General features: G+C 40.1%; 1 protein-coding gene across 4 annotated transcripts in view, besides 3 other annotated features; it reads right to left on the bottom strand.

The window, feature by feature from the left end:
* Positions 1-14,938, bottom strand: part of ZNF430 (zinc finger protein 430) — a 39,394-nt gene extending 24,456 nt beyond the window's left edge. The window contains exons 1-4 of one of the 4 annotated variants that reach the window (NM_025189.4): positions 14,792-14,938; positions 12,714-12,806; positions 2,013-2,139; positions 1,411-1,509 (exon numbers count right to left, since the gene is read on the bottom strand). In NM_025189.4, the coding sequence (NP_079465.3) occupies positions 1,411-1,509; positions 2,013-2,139; positions 12,714-12,806; positions 14,792-14,794 (322 nt within the window). In that variant the 5' untranslated portion in view covers positions 14,795-14,938. The remainder of the gene's footprint in view (positions 1-1,410; positions 1,510-2,012; positions 2,140-12,713; positions 12,807-14,791) is intronic. The other 3 variants (NM_001172671.2, XM_047439464.1, XM_047439465.1) reach the window with 3 other exon arrangements.
* Positions 10,917-11,417: an enhancer, noted in NCBI's record as "H3K4me1 hESC enhancer chr19:21206984-21207484 (GRCh37/hg19 assembly coordinates)". NCBI's record gives its function as "activates a minimal SCP1, AML or CMV promoter by ChIP-STARR-seq in primed H9 embryonic stem cells {active_cell/tissue: H9 hESC(primed)}" and the evidence as "EXISTENCE:reporter gene assay evidence [ECO:0000049][PMID:30033119]".
* Positions 14,063-14,654: an enhancer, noted in NCBI's record as "H3K27ac hESC enhancer chr19:21203747-21204338 (GRCh37/hg19 assembly coordinates)". NCBI's record gives its function as "activates a minimal SCP1, AML or CMV promoter by ChIP-STARR-seq in primed H9 embryonic stem cells {active_cell/tissue: H9 hESC(primed)}" and the evidence as "EXISTENCE:reporter gene assay evidence [ECO:0000049][PMID:30033119]".
* Positions 14,655-15,248: an enhancer, noted in NCBI's record as "H3K27ac hESC enhancer chr19:21203153-21203746 (GRCh37/hg19 assembly coordinates)". NCBI's record gives its function as "activates a minimal SCP1, AML or CMV promoter by ChIP-STARR-seq in primed H9 embryonic stem cells {active_cell/tissue: H9 hESC(primed)}" and the evidence as "EXISTENCE:reporter gene assay evidence [ECO:0000049][PMID:30033119]".

Genomic DNA, 21,882 nt, shown 5'->3' with positions numbered 1-21,882 from the left:
GCAAAACTACATTGTGCCCATTGTCAATGCTTCTATTTTAACATAGCACTGGAAGTATGTGGCAGAATAATGAGTCAAAAACATTTTTAAAAAGCCACTGAAATTGAACACAAGTAAAAAGTTGCTGTTTGTGGATCATATGATTTTATATATAAAAAACCATGAACACTACATTGAAATTTGTCTGAATTAATACACTCAGTAAATTAGCAAAACATAAAATTAACACACAAGTATGAAGTTATTGTTCCATACACTTTAACAGAGAAAGAAAACAATTTAAAATAGCATTAAAATGATAAATTTCTGAGAACAAGGAAGTAAAAAATCTTTACAACGAAAGATATGTTATTAATAAAAGAAATTAGAGAAGACACAAATTTAAAAATATTGCATGTCTACAGATTGAAAAAATAAATATTGTTAAAGTGTCCTATTATCTAAGTAATCTATAGATTCAATAAATTCCCTATCAAAATTTCAGTGGCATTTTTCTTCACAGTAATGGAAAATACAATTCTAAAATTTACAAGAAACAACAATAAACTTCAAATAGCCAAAGCAATCGTGAGGAAAAAGAACAAAGTAGAAAGACATGATGCTTTATAATTTCAAACTATATTTCGAGAATATAGTAATAAGAACAGAATGGAGTGTGCAGAAAAGTTAACAACAACAACAAAAAACAGTGGAACAGAAACCACTACTATTACACATTTCAGACATGATGCAAAAAGAGAACTAAGAAAATAGTTTGGCCAGGTGCAGTGGCTCACACCTGTAATCCTAGTACTTTGGGAGGCCAAGGCGGGTGGATCACTTGAGGTCAGGAGTTTGAGACCAGCCTGCCCAACATGGTGAAACCCTGTCTCTACTAAAAATACAAAAAATTAACTGGGCATGGTGGCAGGTGCCTGTAATTCCACCTACTCAGGAGGCTGAGGCAGGAGAATTGCTTGAATCCAGGAGGCAGAGGTTGCAGTGAGCCTAGATCGTGCCATTGCACTTTAGCCTGGGCAACGAGCATGAAACTCAGTCTCAAAAAAAAAAAAAAAGAAAGAAAAAAGAAAAGAAAATAGTTTAACATAGAGTTTCTCAAAATCATGTAGATATTTGTGTGTCCCCCAAAACAATGGAAAAGCAGTCAGATTGTGAGTCTCGCATGCCATGAAGAGGACTTTGGTTCTGATAGCAAACTTGAAGGGAGATCACCAAGGGGAAAGAATCCTTGAATTTAAAAGCATAAGACAGAAGATGACCCTATGCGAGGGCAAAATTAAAAAAAAAAACTCAGGCTTCCCAGAAAATATTTGCTTTGGAACACAGATTCTCAAATAACATTTTAAGCATTGGCTTTCTTCTTTTTTGGACCTCTCATTCATGTCGTCTGTTGTGTTCACTCTCACCTACCTGGGGGTTGATCTACCATCGCATGTCTCTTCATATTCCAGGGCTCTTTTCCTTGCTCTAGACAGGTGATCAGGTCTGGCTTAGAAACAGCAATACCTGCTTTATTGAAAATAAATAACATGAATCTTTCTCATATTCTTCAGTTACCAACCTAGTACTGTGCTTAGTAAAGAGGATGTGGTAGAATATTCTAGAAAATTAATCCTAAAAATACTAATTTATAACAGAAATTTCTAAGTATTTAGAAAATATTTTACATTTGTAGGTTCTTAATTTCACTGCCTGGCATTCATTAATCAAAAATTGGTGGCGGCAAATAGATTTTAAGATATGGGCAACAATATTTTATGCCACTAAATTTCTGGAATTGCCACTAATCTAGAGTGAAGGATACAGATCAGCCCAGGAATGTGGAAAGTTTAAGTCAAGATAAAACTTCTTGAAAAAATTCTTTCCTATATGGAAAAATCCTCAAGGTTTTCTTAAGAACAAGTATCAGAAACTCATTTATGCAAAGCATAAATTACCAAAAATTATTCTCAAAAAATGAGAAATGAAACCTTTAGGGTATACTAGTAATTGTGTACTAAAGTTATTCTCACCCAAGAAGACCAGGTTTCTGTAGTTCTCTAACATCACTTTTCTATACAAATCCTGCTGAGCAGTGTCCAGGCATTGCCACTCCTCCAGAGAAAATTCTATGGCCACATCCCTAAATGTCAATGGCCCCTGAAAAACACAAGCACACAAGACACACGTATATTTACCAAGTGGCCACGGGCAGAATTTATTATTTGAATTAAAGTGAAATGACAGAATAAAGAGAATTGGTTCTGATTTGCAGGAATGACTGAAATTATCCAATAATTTTTTTTTTTTTTGAGACAGAGGCAACCTCTGCATCCCGGCGTCAAGCGATTCTCCTGCCTCAGCCTCCTGAGTAGCTGGGATTACAGGCATGCACCACTACATTCGGCTAATTTTGTATTTTTAGTAGAGACGGGGTTTCTCCATGTTGGTCAGGCTGGTCACGAACTCTCAACCTCAGGTGAGCCACCCGCCTTGGCCTCCCAAAATGCTGGGATTACAGGCATGAGCCACCATGCCCGGCCCCAATAATTTTTCACACAGAAATATTATCTAATGTTTTCTCTAACTCTGAGAGAAGAGAATGGCATAAGATCCATAACACCAGTATATATATGATACTTCTCTGGATGAGAAGCATAAAATTAAGGGCATAAACAAAAATTTGTACACTTCGAGTGCTATATTTACATCATAAAGTTTGAGTTGTGTATATTTTTCAGACAAAAAAGACATGTTGAGTTCGAAGGTACCTCTCAACTTTAAAGGTGAACAATAAACTGGAGATTCTGTTGTGCAGACTTTTTTTCTTCAGAAGATCTGGAGTAAAGTCTGAACTTCTAAATTTCTTTCTTCTTTTTTTTTTCTTTGAGATGGAGTTTTGCTGTTGTTGCCCAGGCTGGAGTGCAATGACACCATCTCGGCTCACTGCAACCTCCGCCTCCTGGGTTCAAGCAATTCTCCTGCCTCAACCTCCCAAGTGGCTGGGATTACAGGCATGTACCACCATGCCCAGCTAATTTTGTATTTTTAGTAAAGACGGGGTTTCTCCATGTTGGTCAGTCTGGTCTCGAACTCCTGACCTCAGGTGATCCGCCCACCTCGCCCTCCCAAAGTGCTGGGATTACAGGTGTGAGCCACCACACCCAGCCAACAAATTTTTATGATGTGCTGATGCACATAGAAGAACACGGCATCACTGCTAAGATATTGCCCCTCAAACAGTAAATTATAATCTGAATGCAACCATAAAGATACATCAGTTTTATACAAAGTTCAAAATACAGATATCTCCCATGTTCTGTTATTTTTAACAGTGATTTTAAGTAGTCTTTCTTTAGCACCCTAGAGAGCAGGTATCTCCTAATAATTTTTTTCAGAACTTTCTGGGTAATAAATGGTATTCTGTTTAAATAAGCATTTTCTTAATCCTGTTCTGCATAGAGTTAATAGAGAAAACAGATGAAACCTCAACATTACATATTCTCCATCTTTACTAGGGACCCCAGCTTTCCCCCAATAGGAATCTTGAGTATCTACATCTCCCCATGTTTAACAGCCACAAAGGGAACATTTTTAGTAGTGCCGATTATAAATTTATGGTAGGAATTCTGCGTGGCATATAAGAAGCCATGATGTAGAGAATGTAGAGAAAGCTCTGGTATATAGTAAAGAAATGTTTTGCAGACAGCCTTGAATATTATAAGAATTTTTTAATGTAGTTAAAACAAACTCCTTAAGAAGGAAAAACACAAATCGAGAAGTAAAGATTTGCAAGTACTAAACACATGGCATTCCATGAAGCAGAGTGCACACAGCTCTTCTTCTGAGACACGTTTAGCTGAAAAAAAGCCATTTTTTCTCTTTCTTTCTCTGAAAATCCTTTTTAGATAACATTCTCTGGACAAGTTATACCTGCATTTTGAGAACGTTCCTTTAAAAATGTCAGCACCACCTTTTTGTCTGCTACCATCACGCACACAAACAGAAGGAAGGTCCTGCAGAAAAAGTCCACCCATTTCTCTGTCCTTTATAACAGAAAGGATTCAGGAACAACGAGCTGCTCTATGAATATAAAAGTATGTTTCTCTTTTCCTGTCCTTAGGTGCCCTCCTCTGCCACAGACACCAGCAATTTCTGCTACAGTAATGGAAATATGAGCCACACTCCCCTGTCCCTACCAAACCCAAACAGAACGGGCCCTGAGACCACCCTTTAGTGCAAAGGTGGCACTTAGCTCTCATGAATGTATATTGAAGCCCTCATACTTGATTCTGGCCTCACCTTAGAGTCACATGAGGCACTTCATTAAAACAACATGGATGCTTCCACCCAGAACAATAAACGAAATCCATGGAAAGGGCATAAGTACAGAGATTTCTGCCATGTAATCCTAATTAGAAGACTGGGCAGAGGCCGGGCGCGGTGGCTCACACTTGTAATCCTGGCACTTTAGGAGGCCGAGGCACATGGATGACCTGAGGTCAGGAGTTCAAGATCAGCCTGGCCAACATGGTGTAACCTCATCTCTACTAAAAACACAAAAAATTAGCCAGGAATGGTGGCGGGTGCCTGTAATCCCAGCTACTCAGGAGGCTGAGGCATAAGAATGGCTTGAACCCAGGAGGCGGAGGTTTCACTGAGCCGAGATTATGCCATTGCACTCCAGACTGGGTGACAGAGTGAGATCCTGTCTCAAAAACAGAAAACAAAACAAAACAAAAAAAACAAGACGGGGCTGATAACCACTTAGCTAAGCACTGCCTCTCAAACTTTAATGAGCTTAAAACTCGTTTGGTAATTTTGGCCCCACTCTACGTAATGTGGATCTGCAAGTTTGAAAAGGGTTCATGAATGCGTGTTTCAAACAAGTTCCCTGTCAATGCTGATGTTGTTCCCCCTGGGCTCATTAGCATTAGTTAGAGAAGCAGGTACAGCACAGAGTCCCTTACACTTAGCACTCTTGTCACAACACAAATACTTCTGGTACAAATAAAACCAATCTCCATCTTAAATTTTTATATTCTTCGCTGGCTCTTTAAAGTTTACAGAACAAACAGAAGGCGGCAATGTCTGAATAAATCTGCCTTTGGAAAATAACATGTACACATATACAAATGCAATGTTTATTAAGCAGGTACTATGTGCTCAAGGATATGTTACAGAGCACTGTGCTGGGAATAACACATTTTGTGATTTAATCCTAATAACACCCTGGAAGTTGATACTAAGTGTTCAATAATTCCCAGGACTTAGATAAAGGGTTCAGCATTTTTATTTCTCCCTCTGTTTCTCTGTCATTGATTTTGTTTTAAAGGTATAGAATAAAAGTTAAATACAGGCAGATGAGAAGAACATAGAAAAAGTTTAATGTAGTTTAGAGAAATTTTTATTGTGTATACATTTACTTGTTTGTGGCTTGTGGAGCAACTGCTAGATTGGCAGAAACAGAAAACAAGGTGCTAAATGGAATGTTTCTGTAAGCACTGGTTTTAATACAAATTCAAAAAATAAGATCCTAAAATAAATAGTTTATTTCTGTCATTTATCTGTTTTTGGGTTTCAGAAAATTGTGAGCACCAGCTCTAGAAAAGCAGCAGGACTCACCAGACAAAACTCCAGTCTTTTTTTTTTTAGATGGAGTCTCGCTCTGTCACCAGGCTGGAGTGCAGTGGCACAATCTTGGCTCAATGCAACCTCCGCCTCCCGGGTTCAAGCGATTCTCCTGCCCCAGCCTCCTGAGCAGCTGGGATTACAGGCATGTGCCACCACGCCCGGCTAATTTTTGTATTTTTAGTAGAGACGGGGTTTCACCATGTTAGTCAGGCTGGTCTCAAACTCTCGACCTCATGATCTGTCTGCCTCGGCCTCCCAAAGTGTTGGGATTACAGGTGTGAGCCACCACACCCAGCCAAAACTCTGATTTTTATAAATCAGTTTTGTGAGGTAAGGCTCCAGAGCGGGGCCAGACATAAATAAGGCCTCCAAAAAACGTGAATCTGAACAGAATTTGGGCAGGGAAAGGACCCTATGTAGAATTATGTTCTCTCTGCCACCAAGGTATTTCCAGTTCTGTTTTTCCTAAGCTTACATAAGAGAATCTTAAATCCCAGAGCTTATGTAACTTTAATCTATTTTTGCCACTGCCCTGTCAATTTTATAACATATACTAATAAGCAATTTAAACAAATTTATTAAAGTTCTTTAGAATAATTATACTAGAAGATAAATATATATTCTTAGCAAAGTAAAGGAAACACAAATAATAACAAATCTTCACTCCATAAATATCTCCTCAGCTGATGGTATCAGAAGTAACAATATAAAACAGTGGCCCCAATTTTTTTTGGACACATCTATTCATTGTACCAACCATATAATGCTTAATTCACCCATGTATCCAGTTGTTAGTCTAGACATGTTCCTGGATAGTAAGGATCATGACTGCTTCATCTGTTTTTTGAATGGCCATATAAAATGAAAACAATTACTTTATCTGTTTGAGTCACCAGACCTCCTATTGCTTTCATCCAAGTATCAGGAAACTTGAGAAACTCTCATCTGGGTACCAACCAAAGTTATCTCTTGTATAAGGGGAGAAAAAAACACAGAATTGCCAGGCATGGTGGCTCACACCTGTGATCCCAGCATTTTGGGAGGCTGAGGTGGGCGGATCACAAGGTCAGGAGTTCAAGACCAGCCTGTGCAATATGGTGAAACCCTGTCTTTATTAAAAATGCAAAAATTAGCCAGGCATGGTGGCAAGTGCCTGTATTCCCAGCTATTTGGGAGGCTGAGGCAGAAGAGTCACTTGAACCCGGGAGGCGGAGGTTGCAGTGAGCCGAGATCGCGCCACTGCACTCCAGCCTGGGCGATAGAGCAATACTCCGTCTAAAAAAAGAAAAAAAACCCTAAAAAAACCACACACACACAGAATGACTCATTTCTCTTACACCAAGCCAGAAGCAGAATTAACCACTCTTGTCAGCCTGACACAATTCTGCCCTGGACATCCTCAAATGTCTCAAAGACGTCTAGGTGATTGTGAGAGGGTTCTTAGTGACCCTGGGCTGATGGCCCAATGATAATCCAGGCTGGAGAGATTCAGGCTGATTCTAAATAGAAAATGGCCTGGTGGAGCTCCAGAACCTAATCACTTGTCCCAATTTGCTAGCTTTTGGGTAAGGAGAAAGACAAGAATACTCTACTCCAGTATCACATTTTACAGGTAGGTATAGTTGTGGTCATGGCTATGGATACATTATGACTTTGATATCTCACTCTTAAAATGCTGATTCTGTCATCAGATTCTATTTATATCTGGAGCCTCTCACATAACTGTGGCAAATCACTGAACAAGATCTGAAAAGCTTAAAGAACCACACTGTCAAAGGGGGCTTTAAGATGTCTATGTTGACAACTCACAATGGAGAAAATGCCTCCTGTTGGTTTTCTGTACATTCTCAACCTAAAGTCTGGCCGTGTCCTGTAAATCCCAGGAAGAGGCCAGACCTTATGTGCAGATTCTAGGTAGGATCAACCACACTCTGCATTCTTGGGTGTTACAGCAAGTGGAGTACAATCAAAGGAGAGATCCCCTCATAGAGGCTGCTCTAGCTCATTCTACGTGATATGACTACCTAAAAGGAAAAAGCTGAGGCAACATGAATATAAGAGTTTATTTGGGCCAAGCTTGAGAATAGTAACCTGGGAGCAAAGACACATTTTCCAGAGACTGAACAAATAAGAAACTGAATCCCTGAATAGACCAATAACAAGCTCCAAAATTGAATTAGTAAGAAATAGCCTACTAGCCAAAAAAAAGCAAAGAACCAGACAAATTCCTAGCTGAACTCTACCAGATGTACAAAAAAGAGCTAGTACCACTTCTACTAAAAATACTTCAAAATATTGAAAAGAAAGGACTCCTTTTCAACTCATTATATATAAGAATAGCATCATTCTGATATCAAAACCTGGCAGAGATTAAAAAAAAAAGAAAACTTCAAGCCAATATCCTTGATGAACATTGATGAAAATACCATCAACAAAATACTGGGAAACTGAATTCAGAAGAACATCAAAAAGCTAATCCACTATAATCAAGTAGGCTGCATCTCTGGGAGGCAAGTTGGTTCCATATACAATCAATAAATGTTATTCATCACATAAAGAGAACTAATAACAAATACCAAGATTATCTCAATAGATGCTAAAAATACTTTCAATATAATTTAACATTTTTCATGTTTAAAACCCTTAACAAACTAGGCATTGAAGGTATATACTTCAAAACAATGAGACATCAACGACAAACTTACAGCCAACACACTGAATGGACACAAGCTGGAAGCATTCCTCCTTGAAAACTGGCACAAGATAAGGATGCCTTCTCTCAAACATCCTATTCAACATAAAATTGGAAATCCTGGCCAGAGCAATCAGAGAAGAGATGAAAATAAAAGGCATCTGCCGGGCATGGGGGCTCACGCCTGTAATCCCAGCACTTTGGGAGGCTGAGGTGAGCAGATCACGAGGTCAAGAGATCGAGACCATCCTGGCCAACATGGTGAAACCCCGTCTCTCCTAAAAATACAAAACTTAGCTTGGCATGGTGGCATGTGCCTGTAGTCCCAGCTACTCAGGAGGCTGAGGCAGGAGAATCGCTTCAACCTGGGAGGCGGAGGTTGCAGTGAGCCGAGATCACACCACTGCACTCCAGCCTGGCGAGAGCAAGACTCTGTCTCAAAAAAAAAAAAAAAAAAAAAAAGAAAAGAAAAGAAAAAAGGCATCCAAACAGGAAGAAAGGAAGTCTAACTATCCCTGTGTGCAGATGACATGATTCTATATCTTCAAAACCCTATAGTCTCAGCAGGAAAGCTCTTTAAACTAATAAACAACTTTAGCAAAGTTTCAGGATACAAAATACACGTACAAAAATCAGTAGAATCTCTGTACATCAAAACATCCAAGCCAAAAGCCAAATCAAAAACATAATCCCATTCACAATTGCCACAAAAAGAATAGAATATCTAGGAATACAGCTAATCAGAATGGTGAAAGATCCCTATGACAAGAATCACAAAACACTGCTTAAAGAAGTCAGAGATTGGCCGGGCACGGTGGCTCACGCCTGTAACCCCAGCACTTTGGGAGGCTGGGGCAGGCAGATCACAAGGTCAGGAGTTTGAGACCAGCCTGATCAACATGGTGAAACTCCATCTCTACTAAAAATACAAAAACTGGCCAGGCGTGGTGGCGTGCGCCTATAATCCCAGCTACTCAGAAGGCTGAGACAGGAGAATAACTTGAACCTGGGAGGCGGAGGTTGCAGTGAGCTGAGATCGTGCCACTGAACTCCAGCCGGGGCAACACAGTGAGACTCCGTCTCAAGAAAAAAAAAAAAAAGTCAGAGATTACGGCCAGGCATGATGGCTCATGCCTGTAATCCCAGCACTTTGGGAGGCCGAGGCAGGTGGATCATGAGGTCAAGAGACGGAGACCATCCTGGTCAACATGGTGAAACCCCGTCTCTACTAAAAATACAAAAATTAGATCCAGGAGTGCATCCAGAGGAAACCATGCCATGGATCTGGGGCCCACATTACTATCTCATAAAAAGTGTGATGACCAGGTTTATGGATCACTCTGTTCTCAATGACAGAAACTTCAGTCTGTATTAAGAAGATATGGCTGCAGAAAGACAAGATGAATTGTGGAAAGAGTACAAAGAGGGGGAAAGTAGGAGGTTTCCCAGTTCCAATGGCTGACTAATGGGAGGAGGAGATGGAGAAAGCAGAGTAAACTGATTGGACTGAAAAAAAAAAAAAAAAAAGTACAAAAATTAGCCAGGCATGGTGGTAGGCGCCTGTAATCCCAGCTACTGGGGAGGCTGAGGCAGGAGAAATACTTGAACCTGGTAGGTGGAGGTTGCAGTGAGCCGAGATGATGCCGTTGCACTCCAGCCTGGGCAACAGAGTGAGACTCCGTCTCAGATAAAAAAAAAAGGAGAAATGTCAGAGGTGTATTGAATCAGGGCAAATCCATTTCGAATAGGGGCTGGGTAAAATGAGGCTGAGACCTATGGGGCTGCACTCCCAGATGGTTAGGCATTCTAAGTCACAGGATGAGACAAGAGTTCAGCACAAGATACAGGTTATAAAGATCTGGGTGATAAAACAGGTTGCAGTAAAGAAGGTGGATAAAACTCACCAAAACCAAGATGGGATGAGAGTGACCTTTGGTGGTCCTCACTGCTACACTCCCACCAGTGCCATGACAGTTTACAAAATGCCATGGAGACATCATGGAAACATCAGAAAATGACTTTATATTGTCTAATTGGGAGGCAAAAATAATCCACCCCTTGTTTAGCATATAATCAAGAAATAACCATAAAAATGGGCAACCAGCAGCCCTCAGGGCTGCTCTGCCTATAGAGTAAGCCATTCTTTTATTCCTTCTGTTTCCTAATAAACTTGCTTTTACTTTACTCTGTAGACTCACCCTGAATTCTTTCTTGAGCGAAATCCAAGAACCCTCTCTTGGGGTGTGGATTGTGACCCCTTTCCGATAAGAACTCTGCACATTTTCTTTTTCTCATTTAAAAAAATCAGCTGAATTTGTCTTCAGTGGTCTAAATAAAATTTTTCACAGGCTCCTGAACTTGGAGCTACCCTCAATCTGAGCCAATATACAACTCCATTTTATGTCCCTCCTAAGAACATGCTGACTTCAGGGTAAAACATTCTCTGATCTAAAATCTGATTATTTCACCCTTCATTTGTCAGTCACCTCCAACTTCTTTTTTTTTTTTTTAAGATGGAATCTGGCCCTGTCACCCAGGCTGGAGTGCAGTGGCGCGATCTAGGCTCACTGCCAGCTCCACCTCCTGGGTTTACGCCATTCTCCTGCCTCAGCCTCCCGAGTAGCTGGGACTACAGGCGCCCGTGACCACGCCCGGCTGATTTTTTTGTATTTTTAGTAGAGACGGGGTTTCACCATGTTAGCCAGGATGGTCTCCATCTCCTGACCTCATGATCCGCCTGCCTCGGCCTCCCAAAGTGCTGAGATTACAGGTGTGAGCCACAGCATCCGGCCGTCTCCAACTTCTAATTTTGTTTGCTCCTCCCCATGAAAGAAAGCCCTTTTCTGCCTAAACTTTGCAATCCTTAAGGTTCTTACAGTTGGTATTTCCTCCTGTTGCAATAGTCCTTTGGAATTCAAATTTTTAACATAAATCTAACTTTGTTAGGTATTACAAAGTCTAGAAACTGCCTTCAAACATTAACAACTTTATCATCAGTAAGACCCTCTCAATCTCCTACCATCTTAACCTTAACTGCATCTGCCTGTGGGTCCCCACCTTTCCAGGACTCTGTAGCTTCTCTCAGCAGAAAAGCTTCTTCCACAGCTAGAGTGAGCAGGCTAGGACATCTGCAGGGGAGGCTCCCCAGAAAAAAAACTAACTGGGCCTGTAATAAACTCCTTTTGCAGGCTCAATATTAGCCTTAGCTCTGAGTCACTGGGCTCAAGCTTTAATTTCTATGTTAGAGTTACTCACTTGGTTTTTGAAACTATGTGTTTGAAAAATCTAGCAAAATTAGTCACAGTGTTCATACAAGGGAAGGAAATTTTAAGGTGTTTGCAATTTATACCTCAATAAAAAAAGCAAAATATCTATTTCTTTCACATAATGTATGCATTATTTTATGAATTCCATTAAGAATCATTTAGTAAACAGTTAGTCATATGGGAAAACTTCTAGGTGGTACCAAGTTTCATCTCATAAAATTTAGCATGAAACTCAGAAATCAAGATAACAGGATTTGAACAGAGATGTTTACTGTCACAAATTTACCCTGCAGAGAGAGAAACTCATGTTTTCATGAATGTATGTAACTCACCAATTATCTACCACATTTTCTTGTAGAAATGTATTTATTTTCTACAAAAAAATGGAACAGAGATTTTCCCTACTCATTTCCTTGGTAGCATTCTAAAAGCTGAGCCTTAGAATTCTGTTTGAAATCACCCAGCCATAAAAAACACACCTGAGAAAATTCCTAAACTCACCCTGGGGGTAAAAAGGGAATAGAGAATTTTTAATGAATGGAATATATTATTAGATACTATTTTTTTTCTTAAACCCACCACTTTTATGCCTTTGGTAAATATTTTCCTACCTTTCAAGCCCTACTAATAGAATTTACAGCTAAAAAACTGAGGTTAAAATAAATGAACAAATCTTTTCAAGGTGACAAACCCAGGGAGTGGCAGTGCTGATGAAAAAACAGATGTGTCTGACTCATGTTTCAAGTCAGGCCATTCAATCACTTCAAACAGTCTTCCACCCACTCCTGCTCACTTATGTGCTCAAGAACCACCCACTCAGGAGATACCACACTATGCCCCAGTGACTGTCCCACGGGCATTTAACTTTGCAAGTTCTTACGCCATCTCACTGGGGTCAGTGTTTTTCTTTTTCTTTTTGTCTTTTGGGATACTATTTTTTCTGTCACAAATGTTCCACTTTTTTCCACTATTTTACTTTCACTATAGTTATTTCACTATTTTTCTGCCCCCTTAGACAATCCAGAGGCAAAAATTATTTGTTTTCCCCTCAATGCCACAGTCTGATTGGTTGACCAGCAATGTGTCTCCAAGAAATGAAAGCTGGGTTGGGTGAAGACAATTTTAACATCTCAAGGGGTTACCTTTTCATAAAAAGAGTACACCAGAAGATTCCTGTCAGCCCCAGGGCATCCACTTGCTTCCTTGAGAGGATACACTCCAGACTTCAGGTTCTCCTATGGGAGAAAATAACCCAGAAGCTGATATCCACTAGACACTCTAACTGACATAACCATGGCGGATATCTTGGTTTATCCCCAGACAATACTGAAACCCAGGACCAGAAAAAAACTGAAGGGTGACTGAGGACACAACACCCCATAAAGTTTCCAAAGGAAAACCCTGACCCAAAAACATCCTGAGACAAGATCTCTGTGCCCAGAGAAGATACAAGGAGAAGAAGCACAGAGAGTTTTTACAACACAGTGTCAGGGGATTATTCTTTGCTTTCTTCACATGGGAAATATTTACAAACAGATAACAAATCTTATTAAAAGCACCATTTAATACTTTGTCAGAAAATAACTAATTAAAATACGGTGTAAAAAATGTACACTAAAGGACAAATAGGTGATAATGTGAATTAGGTAGGAAAAGTTGGCATTTGGGAACGCCAGAAAGAACTGGAAATTTAGTATCTTACTGCAAGCCAGAGTGAGGCTGGAGAAATGGGGGACGGGGGTTAGACTTAAGACCCTGCTTGGGACACAGGTGAAAAATGCAGCAGAAAATCAGTTCCCCGTGGAGTGTGAAAATAATTGAGTGGCAGGCAATTAGACTGAGGTGTCTCTAGACCCTGGGTTCCTACTTTTAAAAAGATCTAACGTGGCTGGGCGTGATAGCTCACGCCTGTAATCCCAGCATTTTGGGAGGCCAAGGCAGGCGGATCACCTGAGGTCAAGAGTTCGAGGCCAGCCAGGCCAACATGGTGAAACCCCGTCTCTACTAAAAGTACAAAAATTAGCTGGGCAGGGTGGCAGGCGCTTGTAATTCCAGCTACTCAAAAGGCTGAGGCAGGAGAAGCTTGAACACAGGCAGCGGCAGAAGTTGTAGTGAGCCGAGATTGTGCCACTGCACTCCAGCCTGGGCGACAAGAGCGAGACTCCATCTCAAAAAAAAAAAAAAAAAAAAAAAAAAAAAATCTAACTCAGGCGCATCGTTTTGAAAATTACTACATTGAAAGACACAAAATTCAGGCTTAATCAACTGTATACTGCCAATTAAGGTCTGATTACACAACCAGAAAATTTTCACCTTTATTGTACAAACTAAGAAACTACATAACGGTACCTAACCAATTACTGAATTTGGCTTTCTTCATCATGCACCTTATAAAAGTCTTTCCTTCAAGCCCCGCCATGAACAACAAATTACAAACCACAGCTGGGTGCTCAACAGTTTTTTAATCACTCTTTGATTAATTTCTTTAATATTTTTGTGGTGACTTCTGTACATTTTTTTTTTCCGAGACGGAGTCTTGCTCTGTTACACAGGCTGTAGTGCAGTGGCGCTATCTCGGCTCACTGCAATCTCCACCTCCCAGGTTCAAGTGATTCTCCTGCCTCAGTCTCCCAAGTAGCTGGGACTACAGGCGTGTACCACCATGCCCGGCAAATTTTTGTATTTTTAGTAAAGACGGGGTTTCACTATGCTGGCCAGGCTGGTCTTGAACTCTCCTGACTTAGTGATGCGCCCGCCTCGGCCTCCCAAAGTACTGGGATTACAGACGTGAGCCACCCCTCCCGGTCTGTACATTTTTAATAGGAGAAAAGAGGAACTAGGAACCCAGGACCAAAGTTCTTCCCATTCATGAACTCGCACCCCAAGTCAGGATTCTCCCGTGACGATTCTCCCGTGACGATCCTCCCGTGGTCCCTGCACAGTCTGGGAGAGACGCGGCGCTGCGGATGCAGAGCTGCCCAGAGAGGGCTCCAGGCCAGGGCACAGTCACTGCGCAAGGAAGAGACGGGACGTGCTGGGGCCCGCCTGTCAGCGCAGCCGCCATCTTAAGGCTGATGGGGACTGAGGCCCAGCTGGGCAAGAACTCGGGGCGCAGATTGTGCAGCTGACTGCCGGGAGGCCTGAGTCCCGCCACAGCCACTTCCCACCCATTACAACCAGCCCCTCCCCTCTCTGGGGATGTCGGACCCGGCACTCTCACCATTTCTAGGCTTCCAGGGGTTCCTGGCGTCTTAGCTGTAGATCTCCCAATACCTGCGGGTCACAGGGCCACAGAGCCTGGACCTCTAGGAGCAGAGGACACAGAGCGCTGAAGACGAGACCTGGAGCTCAGGCCACAGCGAGGGACAAAGGCCCCGCCAAACCCGGAAGCCGCCCTGTCCGCTTCACCTGCGTGCCTGATTGGACGGTTCCCTGCCTAGCGTCTCTGATTGGATAACATTTAAATCCCCGCCCCCTCAGGCCATGATTGACGGAAGATGTGATGAGATGCGGGGCTGAAAGAAGAGTGACAGCTTGGGCTGCATCCTTCTCTGACAGGGCTTCCTCCCTGAGCTGAGCCAGGCCCACCCCAGAGGTTATTTGCATTTAACCTTGTGTGTAAGGTCATATGCATTTATAAATAATATATGGGGCCGGTCACGGTGGCTCACGCCCGTAATCCCAACATTTTGGAAGGCTGAAGCGGGCAGATGACCTGAGGTCGGGAGTTAGAGACCAGCCTGACCAACATGGAGAAACCCAGTCTTTATAAAAAATATAAAATTAGCGGGTTGTGGTGGCCCATGTGTGTTATCCCAGGTACTCGGGAGGCTGAGGCAGGAGAACCGCTTGAACCTGGGAGGCGGAGGTTGCGGTGAGCCGAGATTGTGCCATTGCACTCCAGCCTGGGCAACAAGAGCACAACTCTGTCTAAAATATATATATATATATATATATATATATTTATTTATATATATTTATTTATATATATTTTTATATATTTATTTATATATATTTTATATATTTATATATGTATTTATTTATATATTTATATATTTATATATTTATTTATATATATTTATATATATTTATTTATATATATTTATATATATTTATTTATATATATTTGTATATATTTATTTATATATATATTTATATATATTTATATATTTATTTATGTATTTATATACATTTATATATATTTATATATATTTATATTTATATAATTATATATATTTATATATTTATATATATTTATATATATATTTATATATTTATATATATTTATATTTATATACTTATATATATTTATATATTTATATATATTTATATATATTTATATATTTATATATATTTATATATTTATATATATTTATATATAAATATTTATATATTTATATATATATATTTATATATTTATATATTTATATATATATATTTATATATTTATATATATTTATATTTATATATTTATATATTTATATTTATATATTTATATGTATATATTTATATATATTTATATTTATATTTATATATTTATATTTATATATATTTTTTATATTTATATTTTTATATATTTTTATATATTTATATATTATACATATTTATATTTATATATATTTATGTTTTTATATATATTTATATTTTTATTTTTATATATTTTTATATATATTTATATTTATATATATATAGTGGCTATTCAAAAATGAAAAGAATGTAACAATAATTATTTTAAAATTTCAGATTTTATGACCTTCCCGGCTAAAGGAGGCAGCCTCAGATTTTAAAAAGATGGTAATCTTCTGAAATAAAATGTGAGCCACATGTGAATCTTAAATTTTCTAGTAGACAAACTTGAAAAAGAAACAAGGAACAGGTTGAATTGATTGTAACAATTTAACCCAATATGTCCATAATATTATCATTTTAATGTGTGAGGAATGTGTAATTATTAATAATGTATATAAACATTTGAAACTAAATCTTTGAAACTAACTCTGTATTTTACCTTTCTAGCACATCGCAGTTCAGACCAGCCACATTCCAGTCACTCAGGAGGCACACGTGGCCAATAGCTGCCACATTGAAGTTCAGCTCTGATGTCAGGGGGGTGAATGAACTGAACATCCCTTTTCTGCCAGAAGTGAAGGCAGAGTCTCTCCCTACCAATATCTTTCTTCAGTTCTAAGGGTGGAACAGATAGTGGCCATAAAAAGAGCAGATGGCAGCAGGAGTAAAATAACCACAGGTAGACCACTGCTGGCCACCTGTTGCCCACTTTTCTTCCAGAGATCAGACAGTGAAGAAAGAATGTTGGGGCCACAGGATAATAAAACTCTGTGTCTTCAGATCTGTCCACACTCTTGACCTCAAATGTTTAGATATGGAGAAAACAGATTAAAGGCAAAACTTATTTTGCTATTGGCCTTGGCCCTACTAGTCAGGCTGTAGTTACCTGTTTTCTCCTGTGGTGTGTGGGACTGTGTGGGTATAAGCACCAATCACATGCATACATGTCTACCTGTATTTCTGCATTACTCAACATTCTCTTACAAGTCACCCAACTTTAAATCAGGGGAAAAAATCAGTACCTATAGGGTGCCCACTGTTAGAACATAACTAGTAATCAACCTGTCATTGAATCCTGGCATCCTATCTGCACTGGGTGCATGTATTAGTTAGCTATTGCAGCATAACAAATCATCCAAAACTTATTAGTTCATAATCGAGATGGTCAGCCATTTAGGTTGGGCTCAGTGGGGCCATTCTTCTGGTTTCAGCTGAGCTCCTTCAGTCATATGTCGTCAGCTGCTTGTTGACTAGGCAGCTGTGCTTCTGGGGGTGATGTTCTGCTTCTGGGGTTGTCAATAGGGACACCTTGCTTCTCCTCCCCATGATACCTTATTTTCCAGCTGGCTAACATGGGCTTTTTTCCAAGGTGATGTCAACATTCTAAAAGAAAAACAGAAGCACTCAAGACCATTTGAGCCTAGGTCCCAAACTAGCTCATTGCCATGTTCACAGGTTTCTACTGCCCTGAGCAAATAAGGCCAGCCTGATCTAGGGTTTGGAAAACAGATTCTGAATCTTGATGGAAACAACTGTAAAAGCATCTGGCATTGGGCATGGATACAAGGGGGATGAAAAATTGCTACCATTTTGCAAACACGGTGGCTCAGACCTGTAATCCTAGCACTTTGGGAGGCTAAGATGGGAGAATTATGTGAGCTCAGGCGTTCCAGTGCAGCCTGAGCAACATAATAAGATTTTGTTTCCATTAAAAAAATGAAAAAATTAGCCAACCATGGTGGTACATGCCTATAGTCCCAATACTTAGGTGGCAGAGGCAGGAGGATTGCTTGAGTCTGGAAGGTCAAGGCTGCAGTAAGCCATGATTGGCTGCACCACTGCCATCCACACTGGGTGGTAAAATGAGACTCTGTCTCAAAAAAAAAAAAATATTGGAGAAGCATTTCGAAGACAGAATAATTTGAGGAAATAGCTGAGGGATGAGTTTAGAAAATCAAAGCCCAACAGCACATTATTTATTTTTATCATTGAAAATATTTGAGCTGGCACTGTGGCTCACGCCTGTAATCCCAACACTGGGAGGCTGAGGCAGGCGGATCACGAGGTCAGGAGATCGAGACCATCTGGCTAACACGGTGAAACCCCGTCTCTACTAAAAATACAAAAAATTAGCTGGGCATGGTGGCGGGCGCCTGTAGTCCCAGCTACTCGGGAGGCTGAGGCAGGAGAATGGCGTGAACCTGGAAGGCAGAGCTTGCAGTGAGCTGAGATCATGCCACTGCACTCCAGCCTGGGTGACAGCGCGAAACTCTGTCTCAAAAAAAAATTTTTTTTGAAAACTAGGCTGTGTGCGGTGGCTCATGCCTAATCCCAGCACTTTGGGAGGCTGAGGTGGGTGGATCACCTGAGGTCAGGAGTTCGAGATCAGCCTGACCACCATGAGGAAACCCTGTCTCCACTAAAAATACAAAATTAGCCGGGCGTGATGGCACATGTCTGTAATCCCAGCTACGTGGGAGGCTGAAGCAGGAGAATCGCTTGAACCTGGGAGGCTGAGGTTTCAGTGAGCCAAGATCGCACCACTGCACTCCAGCCTGGCCAACAAGAGTGAAACTCCATCTCAAGAAAAAAAAAAGAGAGAGAGAGAGAAGAAAATATTTGAAAACTTTTAAAAGAGAAAAACTTTAAAATTTTAGAGAAATTAAATTCAACAGAGTTTAATAGAGCATAGAATGATTTGCAAATTGGGCAGCCTGTGGATCCAGAGTAGGCTCAGAGAGACTCTGGCAAAGCCACATTATGAAAACAGGTTTGTGGATGGAAAAAGCAAAGTGACATACAGAAAATAGAAGTGAGGTACAGAAACAGCCAGATTGATTACAGGTTGGGATTTGCCTTATTGAAACATAATTTGAACACTTGATGTCCTTTTATTGGCAAAAACACAGTGGTTGGTACAATAATGGATTACAGTCTATTTATATATCCAGTTAGGTTTCAGTTTACAATGTTTAAAAAAAAACCTAGTGACCAAAGTTAAACAGAAAAGGGAGCAGCTTTAGGCATAATTAATTTAACAATTTCTCCCTTTTGATCATCTTCTCAATTTTGAGAGCTAGAACAAAGCTTTAGACATTGATATTATTCTGTCACCATCAAAAATCTACTTATTTATTCTCAAATCCCATTGTGAAATAGCAGAACTGTAGCTTTTGTAAAGTGGAAACAAGGACTTCAGGTTATTATTTTTTTTTAAGGGTTACAGTACAGGTGACCTCCTTGTGTTGAAATCTGCTGTTTTCAAAAGAATAACCAAACCTGGCCTGTTTTAGGATCTACCTATTTCCTTACATTTTCAGTTTGATTATGTCACATTTAGCATGAGTGACTCCATTTGATTTGGTTTGGTCTCTTTGGGCGTAATGCACAAGCTCAATCCAGAATGATGGCCTTCAATAATGTTGTTTATAAAATTCCCCCCTTTTGGTTAAGTTCTCACATAGGTAAGAGTGTGACCAAAACTTTGTCTTAATGCCACTCTCAGTTTCCATTACCTTTAGTTTTTGTCCTTATCAGGTCATTCATAGGTTATGGTGTCCTCATGGTCACATATGCATTTGAGTTTTTGTGATTGCTGTTAAAGAGAGATCATTTGACATTCTAGAGATAACTGCATACAAACATTTATAACTTTTGAGAGAATACAATGCAGTAGGGAGACTACTATTTCGACTATAAGAAAGATAATAACAAGAGTTTCAAGTATGCTTTTTTTTTTTTTTTGAGATGGAGTCTTGCTCTTTCGCCAGGCTAGAGTGCAGTGGCGTGAGCTCGGCTCACTGTAACCTCTGCCTCGCCTCCCAGGTTCAAGTGATTCTCCTGCCTCGGCCTCCCGAGTAGCTGAGACTATAGGCATGAACCACCATGTCCAGCTAATTTTTGTATTTTTAGTAGAAACGGGGTTTCACCATGTTGGCCAGGATGGTCTCGAACTCTTGACCTCGTGATCTGCCCGCCTCGGCCTCCCAAAGTGCTAGGATTACAGGTGTGATCCACCATGCCTGGCCTCAAGTATGCTTTTTAGCCAGGGTCTCATGAGCCCACCAACTAACATTAAATAGATCAAATAATTAGGTAAATAAATGGTCTCCTCATTTCAACCAAGCAGCCTATTTATTAATCTCCTACAACTGAATCTCTGTAATACCCGATATATTTTTCTATGTACAACTACAAGTTTTAGCAACTGCACAGATACTTCTCTGTTCATCCAGTAAGTAATCTAGAGAAATTCTATTATTTTGCACAACTTTAAAAAGAAAAATTAAAGTCTATTGTGTAACCATAGCCTTTACAATAGAATATGCTATAGAGCCCTAGTAGGGGGAATAAATTTCTAACCATTGCCTCATTTACTCTAAACCATGGGGAACAAAAATACCTAACAAATGATAGCCATTGAAGAGTAATGGCCTCCTGGCAATACTCTATAATCTATTCTGAATAAGTTCTCTTTAACTTATGAATTAGGTTAACTGCAGTGAACCAATATTCTGTTTCTGATATTATGAGGCAACAGATGTCCCATTAAAATTTCTCATCCTCATTGGACCTTCATCTTTTACTTATGAAGGCATAAGTTTGTTCATATATAATGTTGGCTGCAAAATCTTCTACATATAAAAGTGTACCCCATGAGTGCACACAAGAGGCCCTTTTTAATTTCTGTTGTTTGCAGAGCCATAAGAAAAAAACCGTAATCTAAGAGTGTCATGATAGTAGAGATGTCTTGATTTTTCATCTTGTGAAGAAAGCGATCTACATCAAAGCTGCCTTTGCTTTTTAGGAGAAACTTCCCTGTTTAACTTTACCTTAATATCTGCGGCTGGTTGTGGTGGCTCATGCCTGTAATCCCAGCACTTTGGGAGGCCTAGGTGGGAGGATCACCAGGTCAGGAGATTGAGACCATCCTGGCTAACACGGTGAAACCCCGTCTCTACTAAAAATACAAAACAATTAGCTGGGCGTGGTGGTGGGCACCTGTAGTCCCAGCTACTAGGGAGGCTGAGGCAGGAGAATGGCATGAACCCAGGAGGCGGAGCTTGCAGTGAGCTGAGATGGCACCACTGCCCTCCAGCCTAGGCAACAGAGCAAGACTCCGTCTCCAAAAAAAAAAAAAAAAAAAAAAAAACTCCAATGGGCATACAATTGCAAGAATTTGGAGGGCCCCTTCTCAGTTGTGAGATTATCAACCTAAGGTTCAAGGTCCTGAAGTCTTGCTTCAGTGTAGATGGCAAGCAGACTCAATCTCTGGGTTCTAGACTATAAAGGGTTTTTCTGTCCTCAGTCAATAGACCATAAAAGGTTGTTTACCTGGTGAAAATATGCTTTGCCATAACGCATTAAAGCCTTGCTGCATTTAGTCATATTAAACTTCAGTAACAGAACACACATGAGGTTCTATTATCAGGTACATAAGCCATCCAATTACAAGTTTATAATAGTCAAAACAGTTTTTCACTCTCAGTGAATCTGATTGTCATCAATCTGCAATTACAAAAGCAATCCTGTCAATTTAGTTGGATTTTCTCAATACTATTGTTTCTGGAATAGCTTATTTAACAGTTTATAACTTCTCCAGTGAAATCGGATTTTTTTTTTTTTTTTTCCTGAGACAGAGTCGTACTCTGTCACCCAGGCTGGAGTGCAGTGGCACGATCTCAGCTCACTGCAGCCTTTGCCTCCTGGGTTCAAGTGATTCTCTGCCTCAGCCTACCGAGT

Source organism: Homo sapiens, chromosome 19 (genome assembly GCF_000001405.40).
Source record: "Homo sapiens chromosome 19, GRCh38.p14 Primary Assembly".
Lineage (NCBI taxonomy): Eukaryota > Metazoa > Chordata > Mammalia > Primates > Hominidae > Homo > Homo sapiens.
The sequence above is the reverse complement of the archived record's forward strand: the minus strand, read 5'-3'. Positions and strand labels throughout refer to the sequence as shown.